The sequence below is a fragment of the Homo sapiens genome, chromosome 6 (genome assembly GCF_000001405.40).
Source record: "Homo sapiens chromosome 6, GRCh38.p14 Primary Assembly".
Lineage (NCBI taxonomy): Eukaryota > Metazoa > Chordata > Mammalia > Primates > Hominidae > Homo > Homo sapiens.
In genome coordinates this window covers 27,157,556-27,180,904 of record NC_000006.12, presented here as the reverse complement: position 1 = coordinate 27,180,904, position 23,349 = coordinate 27,157,556, and the positions used below count along the sequence as shown (strand labels likewise).

Sequence of the window (23,349 nt, the reverse complement as noted above, 5' to 3'; positions counted from 1 at the left end):
CCCTGAGCCCACTGTTCTTCAAATGTCATGAGTGAAAGGACTTTCTTTTCCCTCTCCCATTCGGGACATTTCCTCTTAAAATGTCCTGGCTTTCCACATCTGAAACATCTGTTTTTCCTTCTCCCCCTCCTGGTTCCCTGATTCTCAGGTTTCGTCCCTTTGCTTCCTGTATAGGGTCTGGCAGCCTGGTACTCAGAAGGTTTACAAGTTCTATTTCCCTGGGATGCCTGTTGAAAAGTTCCCTGTTGTAGGGTGGACAGCATAATTTTTGCCTTTTGCTTCTGCCTTTCCTCATCCCTCCGTACATATACCTTTTGGACCTCTCTTTAAAGTTCCTCTATGGGACAGTCTTTCTAATTTTCTATCTTTTATAATTTCTTTATAGTGTCTGGCCAACTATTGGTGACAAAGTGGAGCTTTAACATCCTTTGTCCTAGTGGGTCCTCTATGTCCAAACCTGCGTATTTTCTTATCTGTTCCTTAAGTCTGTTTAAGAATTCCATGGGCCCTTCATCTTTCTCTTGCTGTACATTAAATGCTTGGGAAATGTTTTGGGTTGGAGGAACTGATTCCTGAATCCCTTTAATTATCATATCCCTATCTCTCATGTTTTCCCGGTGAGCCGCACTGTTGTTATCCCATTGAGGGTCCTGGGCCGGGAATTTATGCTCTGCTGCAAGGACATTCTGACGAGGGGGGTGCTTGCGCTCCCAGGCTATCATAGCAGCCTTGCAGATCATGGTTCTTTCCTCTCCTAAGAAGAGAATACCTAGAATAGACATCAATTCAGCCCAGGTATACAGTTGTGGCCCCATAAATTGGTCAATTTGATCTGAGACTCCAAAAGGGTCATCTAACAGTGGTTTGAGTCTCCTTTTTAGATTTCTAACTTCTTCACTAGCTAAGGGGGGCATTTACGAAGCCAATATCCCCTCCTCCTAGTGGTACTTCCCTCAAGGGAAAAAAGGTTGGGGCAGACTTCTTTGAAGAGAGGAAAGGAAAGTTTTGAATATCCCTTTGGCATTGTTCTATTTGCCACTGGAGCTTTCCTAAGGGAGGGGCATGTTCGAGTGGCTGTCCAACGGGGGTGTGTGGTGTCAAGGCCCATGGGGCAGGGTTATATGGGGGAGGGACGGAGTTTTAGCTTGGGGCAGAGGGGTAGGTGCGGGAAGGGCTGTTGTTCAGTCGGGGCGGAGAGGTAGGCAGGGGAAGGTGGTCTAGAGGATCCCGTGCATCTTTGGATATAGAATATGACTTAGCTAGGTCGTCTTTGGGGGGTTTTGAGTTTGGCTTTGCTTTTTCGTCCTTTAAGGGATAGAGAAGGACAGGTCCTTGTCTCCAACATAGAGCATAATCTATCTCCTCTTGAGAAACTGGGCTTTTATCATTGACATACTGGATCAGGAGTTGGCATATCCAGTCCTCGTCCCACCCAAACTTTGGCCAAAAGACCGAAGGTCTGAGGATGGGTTCCTTAGTCCAAATAAAACAGCAGTACTTTATCATTTGCTGTCTTTTCTTGTGTTTGGTCCTTTCATTATCCTTCCAGTATTTTAACATTAGGCCTAGGGGACTGTGAGGGAAATTTTATTGTCTGCTTGGCCTTTTAGAGTCTCTGTCTTACTTGGGGTTATTTCCCATCCTGGAGGTTGGTGAGGCTTAATATATAATATTAGAGATCTCTTGCACTCCCGTGTCTTAGAGGCTCAACCTCCCCTTTTTCCACTGGAGGTTTCTTGCACTCTCGTGAGCACTCACTTCGTCCTTATTGGCTGCTTCCCTTGCGGGAATTTTAGGCACCTCTTAGCATTGGCGGGTAGGTGGAATCCCCTGATTGGAAAACCGCCCTAAGCCGTATGAGGTGACCACGGAACCAAGTCCGGACTCCGCACTCGCCTTGCGCCCAGTGGTATGTCTCACTCACACACTTTAAAACTCCAGAGACCCCAACCACCAAGGAAGGCTTTGCCGCCCCAATAGCAACGTTTCTTACCTTGGTCTGTGCACAGAGTTACCTGTGGTCGCCATGGAATTCTTTTTTTTTTTTTTTTTGAGACGGAGTCTCGCTCTGTTGCCTAGGCTGGAGTGCAGTGGCATGATCTCGGCTTACTGCAACTTCTGCCTCCCGGGTTCAAGTGATTTTCCTGCCTCAGCCTCCCAAGTAGCTGGGACTAAGGGCGCGCACCACCACGCCCGGTTAATTTTTGTATTTTTAGTAGAAACGGAGTTTCACCGTATTGACCAAGCTGGTCTCACAGAATTCTTAAGGATCCTCCCTACTGTCCGCGTTGCTGAGAGTCCGGATTTATTCGTCACTTCGGGCGGGACTCGATCCTCCGCTCCTGGGGCCACCACGAGGCAATGGGACGCGTCTCCCCATGAAAGATAATCGCTAGCCCCTCCCGAAGGAGAATGGGATCCCGGACGAGTCCCTAAGATTTACTGGAAACAAGTGCTTGGTGTAGCCAAAAGAAACCCTCACTTAGAAAATTCCTCAGCAAGGCATCTTTACTTCTGCAGAAGGGTGCTCCTTGCCTGTTACAATTGCAAGAGCACACCAAACAAAGGAGGTAAGGAGTTTTTAATCCTAACGCAGTTCCTGTTTCTGTGTCCTTCCCCTATTGGCTGGGGTTGGACCGCACAATCTAAGCTGATCCCGATTGGCTAAGACTTAAACTTTGGCAAATAGGGTAAACCCTGGATTTGCGAAAAAAAGGAGTGTATGTGTGTGGTGGGGGGCGGGGGGCAGGCAGGATTGACGTACAACTTTTGCAACTTATGACAAGAAAGTTGAGTCTTTGAAGAGGGACTTAGTTGTCCCAACACTCTGAGTTGCCTGACCCGGTCCTGGGCTCAGTTCCTCCCAGATACCGGCGTTTATCATTGGTGTAGATAATGGTGACTTCCCTTGTCTTAGATGTGGGTGTCTTGGTCTTCCCGGGACGGAAGGAGTCAGAGACTCTTGAAAGGAGCCGTCCCGCTGGTCCTTTCATTTACGCCGATGCCAGCCCGGCACTCGAGCATCACCAAGGGCCCGGTGCCCGGCACTGCAGGGCCAAGTCTGATTTTATCGTTTGTGGAGCTGCAAGCTTAGGACGCACAGCTGTGAATTTCGGGTCCTGGTGACTGCGGAACCACCGCGAGGCCAGGAGGCGAGACAGTGCACTTTCCCAGGTTCCCAGGCCTAAGAGCCCACCTGGCTGGAATGGTCTCAAGGAGCAGAGAGGAATCCGCACCCTCCGAGTCCTCCGAACCCTCCGATCCTGCGAACCTGCGGCGGCTCTGCGGTTGGTTCCGTGAGGAACTGGCCGCGATCGCAAGCTTGGAGCTGCTTTTTGGTTTGTTCTGAGTCCTTCACCTGGTGAGGGGAAGGAAGCCCTGCTTGGGGTCGTTGAATCTGAGTTTTCTCCAGTCAGAATCAGTGGTTTGAGATTGTTTTCCCTGAAACAGCATGGTTTTCCTGTGCCTACAGTGAGGAATTCTCCTTTTCTTAAAAAAAAATATATTTTATTAATAAAAGGGAAAGTAACGCTTCTATTACAAAAAAAAAAAAATTCAGCGGGCATGGATCAGGTATGATTTAAATAAACATAAGAAAAGACCCTCCCACCAAGGAGGCCGGTTAGCTCAGTTGGTTAGAGCGTGGTGCTAATAACGCCAAGGTCGCGGGTTCGATCCCCGTACGGGCCACTTCCGTGGGTTTGTTTTTTTTTTTTTTCTTCTTTTTCGTTTTTATTTTACACCGACCACACCTCGCTTGTAAACTTCGGTTTTACATCGAACTCCGTAGCCTCGCCTATCCATTTATAAATGTAGTTGCACTAGCTAGACAGGAATTTTTTTCTTTTTTCTTTTTTTTTTTTCTTAAATCGACCACACCTGGATTGTATACTACCGTCTTACATCCAACTCCGGAGCGCTGCCTATCCATTTGTAAATGTGGTCGCAATAGCTAGACAAGCATTAGATTTGCACGTTTTTTATTCTTTTGAAGAAATAATATACGAGTTAGGATGAAAAGGTTTTTCTTATTTGTTTGTTTTGTTTGTTTTTGAGACAGAGTCTTGCTCTGACGCCCAGGCTGGAGTGCAGCGGCGCGATCTTGGCTCGCTGCAACCTCCGCCTCCCAGGTTTAAGCAATTCTTCTGCCTCAGCCTCCCAAGTAGCTGGGATTACAGGCGTGTGCCACGATGCCTGGGTAATTTTTGTATTTTCAGTAGAGACGGAGTTTCACCATGTTGGCCAGGCTAGTCTTGAACTCCTGACCTCAGGTGATCCGCCTGCCTTGGCCTCCCAAAGTGCTGAGATTACAGGCATGAGCCATCGCGCCCGGCCAGGATGAAGATTTTTTAAAGGAAATTCAATGAGGTGGGTGGGTGATTTTAGAAAAGGGTTAAATAAGAATTCGATAATGTCTTGTATTATTTTGGGAAAAAAAAACTTTCTGAGATAATACTATTTTGACATATTTTAAGCTTTTGAAAGAGATCATATTGATTCTTCTCCTAGTTGATCACTCAGTTGGTTAAATTGTTGTGTTTGTAGCTTTGAGGGCGAGGGTTCAGTCTACGTGGGAAAAAGCCAGACTTGTGACGTTGCTTTCTGCCAAGCTCCAGACACTCAGCCACAACTGCTCAGTGTTAAAATAGATCCGTGGTTAGCCTTAGGCTTATATTTGACAGCTGTTCTCGATGTGGCCCATACCAAGCCATTTACGATGCGGCCCTTACCAAGCCATTTACAGTTCATTAAACAATTTTTGAACATATATCGTAAAAGCGATAGGTTTGAAATGTGACAAAAATGGAGTGCGTGGTGGGAGACAGGAGGGCCAGAGCCTCTGGGTCCACTCTAAGTCTTAGCACCTCGCTCTTTCTGTCCTGCGCTTTCTTTTTTTTTTTCTTTTTTTCTTTTTCTTTTTTTTTTTTTTTTTTGAGACGGAGTCTCGCTCTGTCGCCCAGGCTGGAGTGCAGTGGCGCAATCTCGGCTCACTGCAAGCTCCGCCTCCCGGGTTCACGCCATTCTCCTGCCTCAGCCTCCCAAGTAGCTGGGACTACAGGCGCCCGCCACTACGCCCGGCTAATTTTTTGTATTTTTAGTAGAGACGGGGTTTCACCGTTTTAGCCGGGATGGTCTCGATCTCCTGACCTCGTGATCCGCCCGCCTCGGCCTCCCAAAGTGCTGGGATTACAGGCGTGAGCCACCGCGCCCAGCCCTGTCCTGCGCTTTCTTGGAGTCTGGTCACTGGGTCCCCGTGTGCCTGGCACGTGTCTCATTTACATTTCTTCCTTCACTCTTCATCCTCCCAACATATTTTTACCCTTCTCTTATTTTAAAACATGGGTTGCTATGAAAATGACATTAACAATATTGATAAATAATGAGGTAAATAATGGCTCAAAAACAGCGCCAAGGACATAGTGGGCGAATCACAAAGGGAAGGGGCTCCCTCTGTTTTGCTCAGTGCTGTGATTTTTCACGTCAAAAACAGTAAGTAGCTCAAAGTCAGCGACTGAAAAAGATTTCTTTAGAATAAATTAATGAAGAGTACCTACTACTTAGTCCATTGTATATTAGATGATATATACAGATTTAAGTATAAGAAGGATTCCACAGGTAGTTGCTGACTTTGAAAACGAAGGGAGCCACCAGCCAGAGAACTCAGGCATCTGCTAGAAACTGTGAACAACCTGTAAACCGTTATCTCAGTCCTACAGCTGCAGGGAACTGAATGCTACTGACAACCTGAGTGAGTTTGAAAACGAATTCTCCCCTAGAGCCTCCATGAGGAACATGGCCGGGCCTGCTGACGTTTTGGTATTAGTTTGATGACACCCTGCCAGACTTATAACGCACAGAACTGTGTGATAATGAATGGATGTTGTTTTAAGCTATTAAATTTGTGGTAGTTTGTTAAGGAAGTAATAGAAAAACTAACAAAACAAGAAATTGTTAACCCACCCACACTTCCTACTATCTATCCTGGGTTATCTTCCTCTCTTCAGTGCAGTGTAAGATGAAATATGGTTTCAAAATGAGGGACAATAATTTTCAACATCAACACAGTAAGAATGAAAAAAAAGAGGGAGCTTCTTAGGATCCATTAAAAATTAAGGATATAGATATGCATATATATGAAAAGTTAATACATTCACATAAACAGTAACTAAAAGTGAAGATTTTCTTCTTCCTCATAACCCACATCTGCTCAGTTCTCAGCACTACCTCCTATATATGACAATTCTTCTTAGTTTCCTATGTATTCTCCTTAGTGTTCTTTGTGCAATAGGTGCAAATATACATAATACATTTTACTTTTCCTTTCTACTTATGTAAAATATAACATTATACACACTATTTTACATTCTGCTTTTTTCACTTGATATGCCTTGGAGATGTCTAATTTAGCAACACTTGTAATGCTTTCAAACAGCATTATATGCTGTACAGAAATAAAACTTTTTTTTTTTTTTGAGACAGAGTTTCCATCTTGTCGCCCAGTCTGGAGTACAGTGGTGTGATCTTGGCTCACTGCATCCTCCATCTCCCAGGCTCAAGTGATTATCCTGCCTCAGCCTCCCGAGTAGCTGGGATTACAGGCACCCGCCACCATGCCCGGCTAATTTTTGTATTTTTAGTAGACACGGGGTTTTGCCATGTTGGCCAGGCTGGTCTCGAACTCCTGACTTCAGGTGATAACCCCACCCCCACCTCGGCCTCCCAAAGTGTTGGGATTACAGGCAAGAGCCACCGCGCCCGGCTGAATCTAGACCATTTAAGTTCATCCCACAACTGAGGATAGGAAGTATATAAGCAGGATTGGAGAGAGAGAGAGAAGATTACACCTTTACTTTAATAATGTGAATAAAACTCTATATGAAGCCATGTGATATTCCAAAGAGTCTTCAAGTAGGGGATCCATAACACTCTGTTGATCAAAGGAAATTACATATTCATTTGTTAAAAGATGACTTTCAGAAAAAGCTAAATCCGTAGCTCTCATACAGATATAAAAATAAGCATACGATCGAAAAGAATAAAATGCTTCAGAATAAATTTAACCAAGGAGATGCAAGAATTGTACTCTGGAAAATACAAAACATTGCTGAAAGAGATTAAAGATGTTAGAGTGCTCATTGCAATTAAAACAAACAAAACAAATATCAACAAGGAGGCACTAAGCCTATTCTGACACCGCTGGTCTGTAGTACCAGAAGTCTTGTTGATGCAAAGTTTAAGTAAATTATATTTTAATGAAAAGGTAGATAAAACATTGTACAACAGTACTCTAGGCCACCAACAAAACTATGACAGACATCCAGGCACGGTGGCTCAGGTCTGTATTCCCAGCACTTTGGGAGGCCGAAGTGGGTGGATCATTTGAGGTCAGGAGTTTGAGACCAGCCATGGACAACATGGCCAAAACCCATCTCTACTAAAAATACAAAAAAAAAAAAAAAAAAAAAAAAAAAAAAAGCCAAGCATAGTGGTGTGCTCCCTTAATCCCAGCGACTCAGGAGGCTGAGGCATGAGAATCTCTTGAACCCAGGAGGCAGAAGCTGCAGTGATCCGAGATCGCGCCACTACACTCCGGCCTGGGTGACAGATATGAGACCCTGCCTTTAAAAAAAAAAACCGAAAAAGAAAAAGAAAAGGAAGCTGTAACAGACACACTAAAAGCCCTCCAGCTTTAACTTGTAACATAGCTTCATTCTCAAAGCTGACTTCTTTTTTCTTTTTCCTGAGTATAGAACAGTTAAAATTTCAAACAGCTCCTTGACACTGCTTTTCATGTCCAAACCAGACATTTTGTTGTAATTCGATAAAAGGCCTCTTCCCCTCCTCCCCTACACAAACACACCCCCACCACACAGTCTGACTCTTGCCCTCATACCCCAAGGTAATGAGTGAATTATGCTCAGGTCCTTGTAAAGAAAATCTTGGGATGACGAAGGGGCTAGGCAGCAAGAAACGAAACAAAACAAAACAAAACAAAATTTTGTATATGACTTTTTTTTTTTTTTTTTAGACAGAGTCTCGCTCTGTCACCCAGGCTGGAGTGCAGTGATGTGATCTCGGCTCACTGCAACCTCCGCCTCCTACGTTCAAGCGATTCTCCTGCCTCAGCCTCCTGAGTAGCTGGGATTACAGGCACGTGCCACCACGCCCTGCTCATTTTTGTATTTTTAGTAGAGACAAGGTTTCACCACGTTGGTCAGGCTGGTCTCGAACTCCTGACCTCAGGTGATCCGCCGCCTCGGCCTCCCAGAGAGCTGGGATTTACAGGCGTGAGCCATCGTGCCCGGCCTGTATATAACTTTTAAAACAAGAGGACAACACAGTATTTTTCAAAATTGTGTATAGCGCATATGCATGGACAAAGCAAGTGTGGCACGTATTTGCATAATGTTTAATTTTAAAAAATTATTCTTTAAAAATCTTCAGGATTATATCTATTTTGCTGTGCATTTTCTTTCACTTTGCTTTATCTTTCCAGGGTTGAGGTTGGGATAAAAGGTGTGTTGGTTTAGTACCTCTGCAAGCCCTAACTAGAGTTCTTTCACTTTCCTAAGGTAAGAACATTCTTAATTAGAATTAGGAAGAAACTTTTATTTTTTTAATAGGAAATTAAAGAAGATGTAAATAAAAGAAAAGGCATGTGTGTTAGTGAAGGTTCTCCCCAGAAACAGAGCCAATGGGATGTGTGTGTGTGTGTGTGTGTGTGTGTGTGTGTGTATGTATATAGGAGGGGGGATTTATTTTCAGGAATTGATTTCTGCAACTGTGGAAACAAGTTTAAAACCTTCATGGTGGCCGGGCGCGGTGGCTCACGCCTGTAATCACAGCACTTTGGGAGGCTGAGGCCGGCGGATCACGAGGTCAGGAGATAGAGACCATCCTGGCTAACACGGCGAAACCCCGTCTCTACTAAAAATACAACAACAACAACAACAACAGCAACAAAAATTAGCCGGGCATGGTGGCGGGCGCCTGTAGTCCCAACTACTTGGGAGGCTGAGGCAGGAGAATGGCGTGAACACAGGAGGCGGAGCTTGCAGTGAGCAGAGATCGCGCCACTGCACTCCAGCCTGGGTGACAGAGCGAGACTCCTTCTCAAAAAAAAAAAAAAAAAAAAAAAAAAAAAAAAACCTTCATGGTAGGGCAGCAGGCTGGGGACCCAGGGAAGAATTGATCATACAGCTGGAGTCTGAAGGCATTCTGCTGACAGAATTCTTTTTTCCTTAGGAAACATCAGTTTTTTTTCTCTTCAACTGATTGAATGAGGCCCATTCACATTATGGAGAGCAATCTGACTCAAAGTCTACAGATATAAATGCTTATCCCACCCAAAAAATACCTTTACAGAAATATCTAGAATAGTATTTAACTAAATGTTTGGGTACTGTGGTCTAGCCAAGTTGACACATAAAATTAACCATCACAATATCCCATGTTCAAAGATTGGAAGACTTAGTATTATTAAAATGGCAATTCTGCCCCAAAGCTATCTAAAGGTTTAATGCAATCCCTATTAATATCCTAATAACTTTTTTTTTTTGCAGAAATGGAAAGGCTGATTCTAAAATTCATATGTTATTGCAATCAAAAGAAAAACAGGCTGGGCGTGGTGGCTCGCGTCTGTAATCCTAGCACGTTGGGAGGCTGAGGTGGGCAGATCACTTGAGGTCAGGAGTTCAAGACTAGCTTGGCCAACGTGGTTAAACCCTGTCTTTACTAAAAATACAAAAATTAGCCAGGTGTGGTAGTATGTACCTGTAGTCCCAGCTACTTGGGAGGCTGAGGCAGGAGAATCACTTGAACCTGTGAGGTGGAGGTTGCAGTGAGCCAAGACCATGCCACTGCACTCCAACCTGGGCGACAGAGTGAGACTTCATCTCAAAAAAAAAAAAAAAAAAAAAAGAAAAGAAAAACAAAGTTGGAGAACTTGTGCTTTCTGATTTCTAAAGATACCACAAAACTACAATAATAAAAATGGTGCAGTGCTGGCATATATACATATAGATCAATGAGAGTTCAGGAATAAAGCCGTATACCTATGACCAGTTAATTTTTGACAAGGACCAGCAAGACAATTCAATGAGAGAAAGAATAATCTCTTCAACAAATGGGGTTGGAATAACTGAAAATTCACAGGTGAAACTATGAAAGTGGATCCCTACCTTGTACCATATGGAAAATCTAAATCAAAATGGATCAAAGACTTAAATGGAAGAGCTAAAACTACAAAATTCCTAGAAGAAAAAATAGGAATAAATCTTCATGACCATCAATGTGACAATGGCTTCATAGATATGACACTAAAAGCACATGCAACAAAAGGAAAAATAGGCACATTGGACTTCTTGAAATTAGAAACTTTTGTGGATCAGAGGACATATCAGAAGAGTGAAAAGGCAGCCTAAAGAATAACAGAAAGGCCGGGTGTGGTGGCTCACACCTGTAATCCCAGCACTTTGGGAGGCCAAGGTGGGTGGATCATGAGGTCAGGAGTTCAAGACCAACCTGGCCAATGTAGTGAAATCCCATCACTACTAAAAATGTAAAAAATTAGCCGGGAGGCAGGAGAATCGCTCAAACCTGGGAGGTGGAGGTTGCAGTTAGAGGAGATCATGCCACTGTACTCCAGCCTGGGCGACAATGTGAGACTCTGTCTTAAAAAAAAAAAAAAAAAGAATGACAAAATATTTATAAATCATATATCTGGTAAGGGTCTAGTGTCCAGAGTATATTTTTAAAAACCCTTACAACTCAACAACAAAAAGAAAACAAACCAATTAAAAATTGGGCAAAAGACTTGACTAGGAATTCTTTCAAAGAAGATATACAAATGACCAACAAGCACATGAAAAGATGATCAACATTATTAATTATTAGGGAAATGCAAATTAGTGAGATACCACTCCATACCTACTTGGATGACTAGAATTAAAAAATCAGGTAATAACAAGTGTTGGCGAGAATATGGAGAAACTGGAACTCTCATACATTGCTAACGGGAATGTAAAATGGTGCAGCCACTGTAGAAAAGTTTAGTAGTTCCTTAAAAAGTTAAACATAGAATTACCATATGAACTCACAATTCCACCCTTATGCATATAATCAATAGATTTAAAAGCAGGTTTTCAAACAAATACCTGTACATGAATATTTATAGTATTACTGTCACAATAGCCAAAAGGTGGAAGCAACACAAATATCCATCAACTGATAAAGGCACAAGGAAAATATGGTACATCTATACAGTGAATATTATTCAGCATAAAAAGTAATGAAGTACTCATATATACACAACACAGATGAACCTCAAACATTATGCTAAGCAATAGAAGGCTGACAGTGTATGATTCCATTTAATGAAATATCCAGAATAGGTAAATTCATACACACAGAACTTAGATTAATGGTTGCCAGGATTTGGGGAAAAGAACAATGGGGAGTGACTGCTTAATGAGTATAGAGTTTGCTTTTGAGGTGATTAAAATGTTTGGAAGTGGATAGAAATGATGACTGCACAACATTGTAAACATACTAAATGCCACTGAATTGTACAATTTAAAATGATTAATTTTATGTTATGTAAATTTTATCTCAATAAAAATAATGAATACAGATTAAATATCTTATTTTGCTGATTCAGTGAAGGAATCAGACAGATGTTATAACCAGTTTAAAGGGAAAGTCAAAAAACACAAATTTATATGGAGTAGAAGAATTACATTGGAAATGGAGAGAAAACTGGTTTTTCCACTGTGGGAGGAAAGTTGTGTTAGTCTATTTTGCGTTGCTATCAAGGAATAGCTGAGGCTGGATAATTTATAAATAATAGAGGTTTATTTGGCTCATGGTTCCGCAGGCTATACAAGCATGGCACCAGCATCTGCTCAGCTTCTGGTGAGGCCAAAAGGAGCTTTTACTCATGGGGAAGGTGAAGCAGGAGCAGGCGCCTCATGGTGAGAGAGGGAGCAAGAGAGAGAGAAGGAAAGTCCTGGTCTCTTTTTAAAGTCCAATCTGAGATTCCTCGTGAGAACGCTCAGGTTTAACAACCAGATCTCTCACACAAACTCATTACTGAGGAGAGGGCACCAAGTCATTCATGAAGTATTTACCCTCATGACTCAAACACTTCCTCAGGCCCCAGCTCCAACATTGGGGATCATATTTCAGCATGAGATTTGGAGGGGACAAACATCCAAACCATGTCAGAAATCAACTGAAACTGTACTGGACAAGATAGAATTTGCATGCCTATTAATTTACAAAAAACTGTAAAATAACTCAAAGATAATAAAAGGCTAGAACCTGATATCCCAGAAGCATATGCTGTATTTAGACGATGCATAGTTTTCATTTGAAACAAAATTATTTTCTTACAGACTTACCCTCTTTTGACCAAAAATAATCTCAAAAGAATATTCTTGTCAAAAAAAGGATAATATTCTTCGTCATAAAATAAGAATGAGGTCATTAATTTGACCTGATTACATCTGTGAAGCATATAGGCTGTCTTAAGTTTGCTTTGCTGGAAGTTTTCACAAGGAGTCACAGATTGGACTTTAAATAAAGACTCTTATTATTTGTTTTCGTTCTTAGTTGCTTGTTCAGAAGCCAAGACCTCATGACCAGATTTAACCTGCAGTACTTGTAAATTTGAGTGAATACCTCTCTTCTCAAAGTCCCTAAAACATTCTGAGTTTCTTGGGCCTGCCAGGAAATGTCCTTCTATAGACACTCACTTAGAAGGCTAGGAACACTGGAAACAAGGTATCAGGCTAGTTTCCTGGAGATTGCTTTGTAAGTCTCCATAACGTCAACCTTACTTTTTAAAAAATGTGTGGTTATACCTGATCAAATGAACACCATTTTCAAATGCGACATTTGAGGCAAAGCCTTGGTTGCATGACCAGTGTTTCCAATTATGTCCTAGTGAAAAAAAGGACAGATTCTTACTGAACCTATGCAAATACCTATAATGCCATGAAAATAAGAATACTTAATAAGAGTTTCCCAATTTTAGAGAGGTCAGGTAGGGACAATAAGATATTTACAAATGTTTAATTTTAGTTTACAAAAGCAAAGTCTGCTAAATTGTTATGAGTAAATGGCTCATAACATAGATAGCTTAAGAGGAGAGGCCGGGCGCGGTGGCTCATGCCTGTAATCCCAGCACTTTGGGAGGCCGAGGTGGGTGGATCCTTGAGGCCAGGAGTTCAAGACCAGCTTGGTCAACATGGTGAAACCCCCGTCTCTACTAAAAATACAAAATAAAACAAAACAAACAAACAAAAAATCGGCCAGGAGCAGTGGCTTACGCCTGTAATCCCAGCACTTTTAGAGGCTGAGGCGGACGGATCACGAGGTCAGGAGATCGAGACCATCCTGGCCAACATGGTGAAACCCCGTCTCTACTAAAATACAAAAAAGTAGCCGGGCACTGTGGCGCGCGCCTGTAGTCCCAGCTACTCGGAAGGCTGAGGCGGGGAAATCGCTTGAACCCGGGAGGCAGAGGTTGCAGTGAGCGGAGATCGCATCACTGCACTCTCAGCTACTTGGGAGGCTGAGGCAGGTCAATCACTTGAACTCAGGAGGCGGAGGTTGCAGTGAGCCGAGGTTGTGCCACTACACTCCAGCCTGGGCAACAGAGCGAGACTCCGTTTCAAAAAAAAAAAAGAGAGGAAAGAGAAAGTGCTTTTTTATGCATTCAGAAAATAGAACACTAAAAAGACATCAAAAATATTCTAAATAATAACTACAACCATCCCTCATAAATTCATGTAGTTCTAGGTAATTAATTCTGGCCCCACTGGATCTCCAGTTAGCAGTTGTAAGGGTAAATGAAAATTATGTTCTCCATTCATGTATGGCAAAGTGCCCATTTCTCTTTATAGAGTTTCCTTGTAGACATAGTGAGTCTGAGTCCTTATGCTAATCTTCAGCAGAGATTAGTATTTTTAAAGATTAGGCCAGGTGCAGTGGCTCACACCTGTAATCTCAACATTTTAGGAGGCCAAGGCGGGAGGATCGCTTGAGCCCAGGAGTTTGAGATCAGCCTCTGTGCAACATAGTGATACCCCCATCTGTAAAAGGAAAAAAAAAAATGCTTGGATGTAGTGATGTACACCTGTAGTCCTAGCTACTTGAGAGGCTGAGGTGGGGAGGATCCTTTGAGCCCAGGAGTTGGAGAATTTGGGGCTGCTGTGAGCTATGATCACGCCACTGTGCTCCAGCCTAGGCAACAGAGGGAGAGCCTATCTCAGAAAAGAAAAGAAAAAAAAAAAGATTAAACCTAGTCTCCAGATTTTGCAATGTAGGGCTATTTCCAAGCTGGTGGACCAAATAAACTTTAGATATGTAGAAAAGGTAGCTCTAGAATTAGGTCAGGGGTCTCTCTCAAAGATGAATGGGAGAGTGTCATGAGGTGCAGCTCTTTGCTTTTCAAGAAGTTAAGAGGAATTATTGTTCTTTTTTCAGCTTTGCTATGTAAGATGAGTGAGATTTTGTTCTAATTTTGTCATCACCTTTATGCTGCCTTACATACATGTACATCTGTTAATGCACACTCAATAAAGGATGTTCTTTCTTCTATTGGTACAGAAGGGTATTTTTGTTGGCAGGATTGTTTTATTTCCCTAGCACATTCTCATGAGACCATGTGTTTCTTGACTAGAGTTTGGAAATGCTGCCTTGGTAGAATGATATGGTCTTAAAGTTGCTTAAGTGATGCCCTCAGAAGCCTGTACCCAAAAGTACCTGGCATAGTCTTTTTCCATAAGGTTTTGAGAGTTCTTCTTTGTTGAAGATAAAGCACTCTGGCCTATAGCTAATTGCAAGGGCTTTCAATGCAGCATCAAAGTAAAACAAAATAACTATATGTAGATGACAAAAGACTTAAAATGGTTATAGTTAATCTATTACTTACAATTTTCAAAAGTGAAAGATCTGGCTGGGCGCGGTGGCTCATGCCTGTAATCCCAGCACTTTGGGAGGCAGAGGCGGGTGGATCACCTGACATCAGGAGTTCGAGACCAGCCTGGCCAACATGATGAAACCCCGCTTCTACTAAAAATATAAAAATTAGCTGGGCATGATGGCACATGCCTGTAATCCCAGCTACTTGGGAGGCTGAGGCAGGAAAATTGCTTGAACCTGGGAGGCAGAGGTTGCAGTGAGCCGAGATCACCACACTGCACTCCAGCCTAGGTGACAGAGCAAGACTTCACCTCAAGAAAAAAAAAAAGTGAAATATCTGATGAGAGTTCATAATACAAATAATGACACTAATAAGGAGTTTTGGTTTTTCTGTGGCCTGTAAAAGAAGACAATAAAGCCAATCCAAAATCAATTTTAGACAAAATAGTTATGAACATACTGATTAATTATATTTTCAAAGACAAGAGTAGACATTGCATTTAATTTATTAAAGTGGATGAACATAATTTTTACAAAGAAAAAAGTCTTAAGATACAACATGATATACCACAAAGATATTACCACATGATAAGATTATGCCAAGAATATATCAATAAAGGCTGGTGCAGTGGCTCACACCTGTAATGCCAGCACTTTGGGAGGCTGAGATGGGAGGATTGCTTGAGCCCAGGAGTTTGAGGTTACAATGAGGTATGATCATGCTACTGCACTCTAGCCTGGGTGACAGAGTGAGACCCTGTCTCTAAAAAAATAAAAATAAAAACATAAAAAATATATTAATAATGTCAAACGGAGATTTGGTAAGCTTGGAGTAGGTCCTAAAATATTTGCATATTAATAAAACTCCATAGGTAAGTGATGCAAATCTCCAATTGTAAACCACTGGCCTAGAAATGCTAGATTCAAATGAACAAAGTAAAGTTGTGACTAAGTTAACATTTAAATAAATAACTGAAATTATGGCTTATTGCATCTTGTTTAATATCAAATATATACTAATAATAAATACAAATAAAAATATGTGTTGGGATGGTTTGCTAATGGAACAAGCATGCCAAGTTTGTATTTTTAGGTACTTAAACCTTGAAGACACAGTTTAATCAATTCCTTATAAGGTTTTCAATAGCAGCATTCCAATTCGCGTGGTCCTTTAAATATTAGTCTTCTGAGAAGTGAATTGATGGCCACCGGAGAATTAAAACAAAGAGCAGAAAGCTTTTGAGATGAAATGCTCTGTGTGAAGAATGTTCTGCCTGCTCTAGAGTACAGAAAATTATTTAAAAAGTCATTAAAACATCATATTTCAAGATTTGATTTATAAATCGATATCTTTAAAAACCAAAGCTACTGCTCATAAACTGTCAGATATTTTATTTTCAAGTGTTTGTTTTTGTTTTGTTTTGTTTTGTTTTGCTTGAAGGCTTTTTTTTCTGAGACAGTCTCATTCTGTCACCCAGGCTGGAGTGCAGTAGTGTGATTTGGCTCACTGCAACCTCCGCCTCCTGGGCTCAAGTGATTCTCGTACCTCAGCCTCCCGAGTAGCTGGGATTACAGGTGCACACCACCATGCCTGGCTAATTTTTGTATTTTTAATAGAGACGGAGTTTCACCATGTTGGCCAGGCTGGTCTCAAACTCCTGACCTCAGGTGATCCGCCTGCCTCCCAAAGTACTGGGATTACAGGCATAAGCCACCAAACCCAGCAAATCTTTTGTTTATTTTGGTTTGTTTTATTTATCTTATCTTACTTTCTTGTTTATCTTGCTTTCTTGAATTCCTTTTAATCATTGTCTTTCTAAGAATATTTCATGTCACTATAAAAATTATTCACTGAATCTCTGTTATTTTGCAAAGCTTTAAATAACATTGACACCATATATTCTGTGTCATCTTCTGTCATTCCTCTTAATTTACTTCTCCCTTCTTTCATAAATATAACAGGGGGAAGGGAGAATTCTACTTCCTCATCTTTCAAAACCAGGCTGTGAGACAGTCTGCAAATATGTTAATAATGGAGGAAGCTTCCTTTCTTTTCTTTTCCATTTCTTTTCTTTTACTTTTTCTTTTTTTTTTTTTTGAGATGGAGTCTGGCTCTGTTGCCCAGGCTGGAGTGCAGTGGTACGATCTCGGCTCACTGCAATCTCTGCCTCCTGGGTTCAAGCGATTCTCCTGCCTCAGCCTCCTGGGTAGCTGGGATTACAGGCGCATGCCACCATGCCCGGCTAATTTTTGTATTTTTAGTAGAGACGGAGTTTCACCATGTTGGTCAGGCTGGTCTTGAACTCCTGACCTTGTGATCCACCTGCCTCAGCCTCCCAAAGTGCTGGGATTACAGGCGTGAGCCACCGCACCGGACCTGAAGCTTCCTTTCAATGTGTAGGTTGAGTTTGGAGTAACTGACAGGTGTCAGGTAGTGAGAGTTTGGTATGTGATTTGTGTGTTCCACTTAATATTTCAGACACAGGTTGTTTAGGGCCACTTAACTGAAATGTACCTGAGAACATATTTGTTCCTCTCTGAGCTTTTAGTAAGCGTAGAGCAAGAATAACACTATGACATGTAATATATAAATCTTAAGATATTTTCAGCCTTCTTTGAATTTAGTTTGCAAGAAGGAGAGAATACTGTAGTATTCAAGTTTGTATTTTTATACTTAAACTTTGAAGACATAGCTTAATCAATTGTTTACAAATTTTTCAATAGCAGCATTCCAATTTTCAGGATCCTTTAAATATCAGTTTTCTTAGAAGTGAAGCTGAGGCTTGTGACAATCTCTTTTGCTCACATTCCTTTGAAAGTAGGTGGGAGAGAACTGCTATGAATAAAATGAGAAAGCAGAATTCAGATTTACTCTGAAGTATAAATGATTTCAGGCACAGTGCAGGACTACTTTTACAGCAGTGAAAAGACTATGACTCTGGTAGAACTCTGATAATAACATTTGAAATCTCTTTAGATAAAACTGAGAAGCCTAATGAGTAGGCCAGTGCTGTAGAGGGTACACTTTAGTTTATGAACTGCAATGCCACTTAAGATTCAGGAAAGTCTTCATTCATTTGTGATTTATTTCCTCGAGATATCATTGAGTCCCTAGATCCTAGATGCACAAATAAGACAATTCTTAGGGTCATACAAAACAGAAATGGTGAGAATATAAATTGCACTGTTGCTCTCTTGTTTTCAAAAATCAAAGTGAATCAGACTCCAAACAAAATGCCATGACTTATTAATTATTTGCCTGACACTGATAATCAAAATCTATCATGTAGCTGAAAATGATGGCTATCAAGGTTAAGAGGCTGGAGACTGAACGTCTACAACAGAATTTGAAATGTTACTCTCTACTATGTATTACAAGATTTTTTTTTTGTACAACTTGTATATCCCCAGTCTTACCTGTCATCAGCAAACCCATTGCTTTTTACCAACAGAAACTTTATTAATTTTTCCCTTCATCCCAACCCTTTCATATTGTGATGCAGTTACCTGCAAGGGACTCTCCATAATTGTGCTAATCGCTCAATACGGATTTCACAACCTATAAATTCCTTAATGCATTTTCAACATATGTATTTGCAACATACTATTGAAAATATAAAATTGAACACGTAAGGCCCCGCTGGGATTCGAACCCAGGATCTCCTGTTTACTAGACAGGCGCTTTGACCAGCTAAGCCACAGGGCCCCTGTTGGGCATATGTTCAGATATATCGTATTTATAACATTTTTGTAAAATGTATCAATTTGACAAAAGTGTACTTAATTTTGTGACAAAGAAAGCACATCTGTGTTTCTGAACCAGCAACAAAGCAGCAATTCCAACACTAAAAAAAATACTTTTCTTCAATGCAAGATTTCAGAATTTATTTCAAATTGAAATGAGTGAAATTTCTATTTCATGGTGACTATCTCCCCCTACAGGAAATATTGGATATCGCAACATATTTTAAATTTATTTCTCTGTTCGTGCATTCATTCTGTCCACAAATGTTGAGTCATTACTGCATTTCAGGTACTTTTCTAGGTATTGGAGAAAGAACATTGAATAAAACAGCAAAATTTTCTTCCATTATTGAATTTATGTTCTACAGGGAGATAAAACAACAACAAAAAACACCCCAAAACAAACTAACCAACTAAAAAAATCCAACAACAAACAAAAACACAAGTGATATGGAAACCAATCTCTTTACCGCTGGGTTATAGAACCCACGACACTACCTTCTGAGCTAATTCACTGCAATTGAGTAAAACCATTATGCTTCCTTCTATTTTATCTAATCTGGCACAAGAAAGTGAGCCTAGACGAGGACACAGTGATGTCGTGGAGATCTGTGGTCACCCTGCTTCCCACTTACCCAAACTAGGCACCTTGAGACCCTCTGTTTCAAAGACAGCTTTGGTCTCAACAGGAGATCTGCTGTTAGAAACAATGAGTTAGGTGTACACAGGGAGTTCTCCTGGATGGATATCTTTGCTTCTGTCATAGTCTTGTTCTGCTCATTTGCCTGCTGGGTTAAAATAGACTCAATTTCTAGACCCACATAGATTGTAAAACTGCGTGGATGATACAGAGAAGTAGAGAACAAAGTAGAGTACAATGTGATAGCCCTCACAGGATGCTGTGGGAACCTCTCACTTGGGCCTCACAGAGTTGCATGACCTTTTATCTCAGGTTCTTTGTCAGTTTAATGAATGCAGAAGGAGTCATGGAATGTTTAGCTGAATGCAGCTTAGCATGGGGAAAAGCAGATGAAACCAATATCCTGAAATATTTAAATAACTGCCTGGTGCTTTGCATATGCATTCATTAAGCATCCACAAAATGCAAGACCCTGGAAAGATGAGAAATTACTTAGGTTGAGGTTGAGTTTTTATTTTTTAACCAAGCCTGGTGTTGCTTCTGATTTATTTCCTGTGGGTCATGAACCTCTACTCACTACCTAGCTAATCACAAAGCCAGGTTATACCAATTTTTCAGCTTTATTGGCTGAGGTTTTTTGTGAAGCTTAGTTATGTATTCCCCGACTTCTGTTTCTCACTGACAGGTGTTTCATAAATCTTGGTATGTGTAAAACCCTGGAAGAAAAGCCCTTTGTTTCTCCTTTTGGAAATCTTTCCAAGATACAAGCAGACATTTCAACATAAAGTAGGTGCTGGAGTGGTGTGGCTACAGATAGATTGCTGCACCCTTGAGAGAAATTAACACTACGAAACCCCTGCTTAAAGTGTTTCATCCGGATTTCTGCTGACATTAGAAGGAAAGTTCTTTTCCTGATTCCCTGACTTTTGGGGCTATTCTTTCTAGAACCTACCTTTTCCCACAACATCTGTGTCTTCCCTAAACTTATGGCCTATCATAGCAAACATTTTGGCCAACATCCGCCTTATAAAAAGCCTTGCTCAGATCTTCAAATAAGCCTCAATACTGAGGACAGACAAAACCCTTCTTATTATTGTTAGAACTACCTTATCAGCATCAAAGAAGCACAGGATTGTAGTCAAGTTAAATAGATGCTGAGTCTGGTACCAGTCTTTGCAATATTACTACTGCATGAAGGCCTTCCACCACTTAAGTAGCAATGATATTTATTTATTTAGCTCCAAAAATGGCTTATTTTATTATTTTGTTTGTTTGTTTGTACCTTACTGAGCTAGTGCCATCATGCATTTACCACCCTTAAATCTTTAGAACAATCTTAGAAGGTGGTAACTTTCATTAATTTCCATGGAGAGATGAGAATGATAAAACATAGAAATATTAAAAAGTCATTTCAAGACCATGAATGCCATAGGTAGAGTAAAACAGTTTTCTTTCTGAAAATGTGGTTGGCAGACTGTGTAAGATACTTCCATACCAATATTAGTGCATTCATAAAATGCAAGCTTTTAATCTCACAATTCCCCTGTTTATACCAGATTTCTAGCAATGCTCACTCAAAGCTGCAAAACATTATTGTGAACCAGAGAACTTCACACCTCTAAGATAAACATGTGCTTTGCACTGAGTATCATATGGTACACGCCAAGCAAGCTCTCTACTTTTCGAGCAAATCATACAGCATGGGTTTTATTGAGCCCTATTACTCACTTGTCACTACAATTTTATTCTGTAATAGATCTAGGACCCTAGCTCTCTCACTAAGAGATAGCCTCTGAGTCAGAGTCCATAGATTTCTGCTACTCAGGCCAGTAAGATCTGAGAAAATGTGTTCTGGAGAATTGCAAGATCAAAATGTTTATTGCTTTAGCAGTTTTATCATTCACTTGTGGCAAAATAATTGACAAGAACTGATCCTTTAGGGTCAATACATACTTGATCCCTGTCTTCACTCTTGTAAGACTGAGTCAAGATAAAATAGACTAAAAAGAAAATTGAAGTAGAATGTGATACAAGTGAACATGAATAACCACTACAAATGCTATTAAATTACTGAGAAGAGGCCTAGAACCTGACCTGTTGGAGAGATGATATCCTACAGTATAAGGCAGCTCAGCTCAATTACAATATCTCTGAGTTTCAGAATCCATGTCAGCTGGATGGACAGTTGGAGAAGAAATGGGGGCTATTTTAGCCCCAAGAAGGAAAGAACAAATCTCTTTTGCTGAAATTTTTGATAAGTTGCTAAAAGTATGAGTATTCTTTTTTTTTGAGACCGAGTCTTACTCTGTCACTCAGGCTGGAGTGCAGTGGTGTGATCTTGGCTTACTGCAACTTCCACTGCCTGGGTTCAGGCAATTCTCGTGCCTTAGCCTTCCGAATAGCTGGGACTACAGGCCTATGCCACTATGCCAAGCTAATTTTTGTATTTTTAGTAGAGACGGGGTTTCACCATGTTGGCCATGCTGGTCTCGAACTCCCGACCTCAGGTGATCTGCCCGCCTCGGCCTCCCAAAGTGCTGGGATTATAGGCATGAGCCACCACACCTGTTTGAATACTAACCTTCCACCAGGGCCAGGAGGGACGAAGTGCCATTAATGTGTTCTCAGAGTGCTGTGCTACTAACTAGAACTGGGCTCATGGAAGCGCCTCTGGGGATCTGCCTGTCTCCAGCCACCTCCTACTGGTCCTAGGTAGCACCAACTACTTCTTTCCAGCCACCTCCGTATCTCAGATCAGCTCTCCTCCACTCCCGCCTCACCCAGTCTACTTGGCTCTTTAGAACTCATTCTAGAAACTGAACGGGCTAGAAATGGGGGCTGTTCTTCTGGGCCATTATTCCCCCCCACCCAAATTCCTTCAATTACTCAAATTTCTTTAATTTTCTCCAGATGATCAAAGGTTACAGTTTTTCAGCATTGGTCCAGCTAGGATACTTAGAAACGCGTGATTAATAATTTGTCTTTTGTGTTTTAAGAAAGATCTCCACAACAAACCTGGATCCCCTTTTGAACAGTCCTTTCCTCATGCCTACCAGTGTTTGAAAGTAAAAGTTTTCCATTAAAAAAAAATTACCTCAGTTTCTTCACATACAGCCAATGCCAACAAGACTGTAGGGCTTGGGTAGGGTTGGGAAGAGAATCTTTGGAGAGGGGAAAAAAAAGACAAGGCAACAAGCGTAGACACTCTCTGCTTGGCTGACTGGTTGGGGCACCATGATGAATACTAGTGTTTTTTGTGTACAGATTAGATCGTAAGTCAATTCAATTTTGCAAGGGTTTTTCCGAGACTGTCTCCACTCCAGTATGTTGAAAAATTGAGGCGACGTCAAGGTACTGCTCAGTACGTTGAGAAATTGAGGCGACATCAAGGTACTGCCGTGACTCGGATTCGAACCGAGGTTGCTGCGGCCACAACGCAGAGTACTAACCACTATACGATCACGGCACGCCACCAGAGGCCGCTGCTTGTGGGGCTCTTCCTTTGCTTATTTCCCAGAAACGTCTGTTTTTGTCATCTAAAGAATGGTGCAGTCTTTCGTCCTTATTTACACACCTACCCAGTTTACTTCCTTATCCACTCCCCGTCCCCAATATTTTGCTTATGGCAAAGAAGCCAAAGGTAACACATTAAGTTTCATTATATGGAATTTTCCCAGCGTGGTGGTTGTTTTTGGGGGTTGGTAATACTGTGCTTGTAAACTCATTATTCTCACTTCTATCTCCAACCCACGCATGTTTCTTGCTCAGTTTAGCAGTGTGGTCCTCAGATCTTTGGCAACAAAAGGAAGAGGGCGCTGCTTTGAAGTGGACCTGCCAGATCCCATTTTTTGCCAAACTAGTCAGAATCTTCGGGGGCTTGGCATGGAATCTGGCATCTCGACAGGTGCCAGAAGTGAGTTTCTCATCACGAGGAACTATGTGGCTTCGTCCTGACCCAGGTACCTATGAGAAGCCAGTGAGGCGCTCGCGCACTCAGCCTGCCCACCTGAGCCGTCAGGAAATGTCCGGCGGCGCTC

At 41.5% G+C, this 23,349-nt stretch overlaps 3 non-coding genes across 3 annotated transcripts, besides 6 other annotated features; 1 reads left to right on the top strand and 2 right to left on the bottom strand.

Annotated features, from left to right (window-relative positions):
• Nucleotides 2,460-2,519: an enhancer, noted in NCBI's record as "active region_24273". NCBI's record gives its function as "activates an Ori minimal core promoter by ATAC-STARR-seq in GM12878 lymphoblastoid cells {active_cell/tissue: GM12878}" and the evidence as "EXISTENCE:reporter gene assay evidence [ECO:0000049][PMID:35858748]".
• Nucleotides 2,701-3,778: a transcriptional cis regulatory region, noted in NCBI's record as "candidate enhancer chr6.1219 targeted for multiplex CRISPR interference". NCBI's record gives its function as "positively regulates H4C8 gene expression in K562 cells {active_cell/tissue: K562}" and the evidence as "EXISTENCE:mutant phenotype evidence [ECO:0000015][PMID:30612741]".
• Nucleotides 2,870-2,969: an enhancer, noted in NCBI's record as "active region_24272". NCBI's record gives its function as "activates an Ori minimal core promoter by ATAC-STARR-seq in GM12878 lymphoblastoid cells {active_cell/tissue: GM12878}" and the evidence as "EXISTENCE:reporter gene assay evidence [ECO:0000049][PMID:35858748]".
• Nucleotides 3,160-3,359: an enhancer, noted in NCBI's record as "active region_24271". NCBI's record gives its function as "activates an Ori minimal core promoter by ATAC-STARR-seq in GM12878 lymphoblastoid cells {active_cell/tissue: GM12878}" and the evidence as "EXISTENCE:reporter gene assay evidence [ECO:0000049][PMID:35858748]".
• Nucleotides 3,562-3,711: a silencer, noted in NCBI's record as "silent region_17021". NCBI's record gives its function as "represses an Ori minimal core promoter by ATAC-STARR-seq in GM12878 lymphoblastoid cells {active_cell/tissue: GM12878}" and the evidence as "EXISTENCE:reporter gene assay evidence [ECO:0000049][PMID:35858748]".
• TRI-AAT5-2 (tRNA-Ile (anticodon AAT) 5-2) lies at nucleotides 3,617-3,690 on the top strand. Its single transcript has one exon. It is a non-coding gene; the product is annotated as a tRNA-Ile (tRNA).
• TRT-AGT6-1 (tRNA-Thr (anticodon AGT) 6-1) lies at nucleotides 18,561-18,634 on the bottom strand. Its single transcript has one exon. It is a non-coding gene; the product is annotated as a tRNA-Thr (tRNA).
• Nucleotides 22,618-22,667: a silencer, noted in NCBI's record as "silent region_17020". NCBI's record gives its function as "represses an Ori minimal core promoter by ATAC-STARR-seq in GM12878 lymphoblastoid cells {active_cell/tissue: GM12878}" and the evidence as "EXISTENCE:reporter gene assay evidence [ECO:0000049][PMID:35858748]".
• TRH-GTG1-5 (tRNA-His (anticodon GTG) 1-5) lies at nucleotides 22,707-22,778 on the bottom strand. Its single transcript has one exon. It is a non-coding gene; the product is annotated as a tRNA-His (tRNA).
• Between the last annotated feature and the right edge of the window lie 571 nt (nucleotides 22,779-23,349).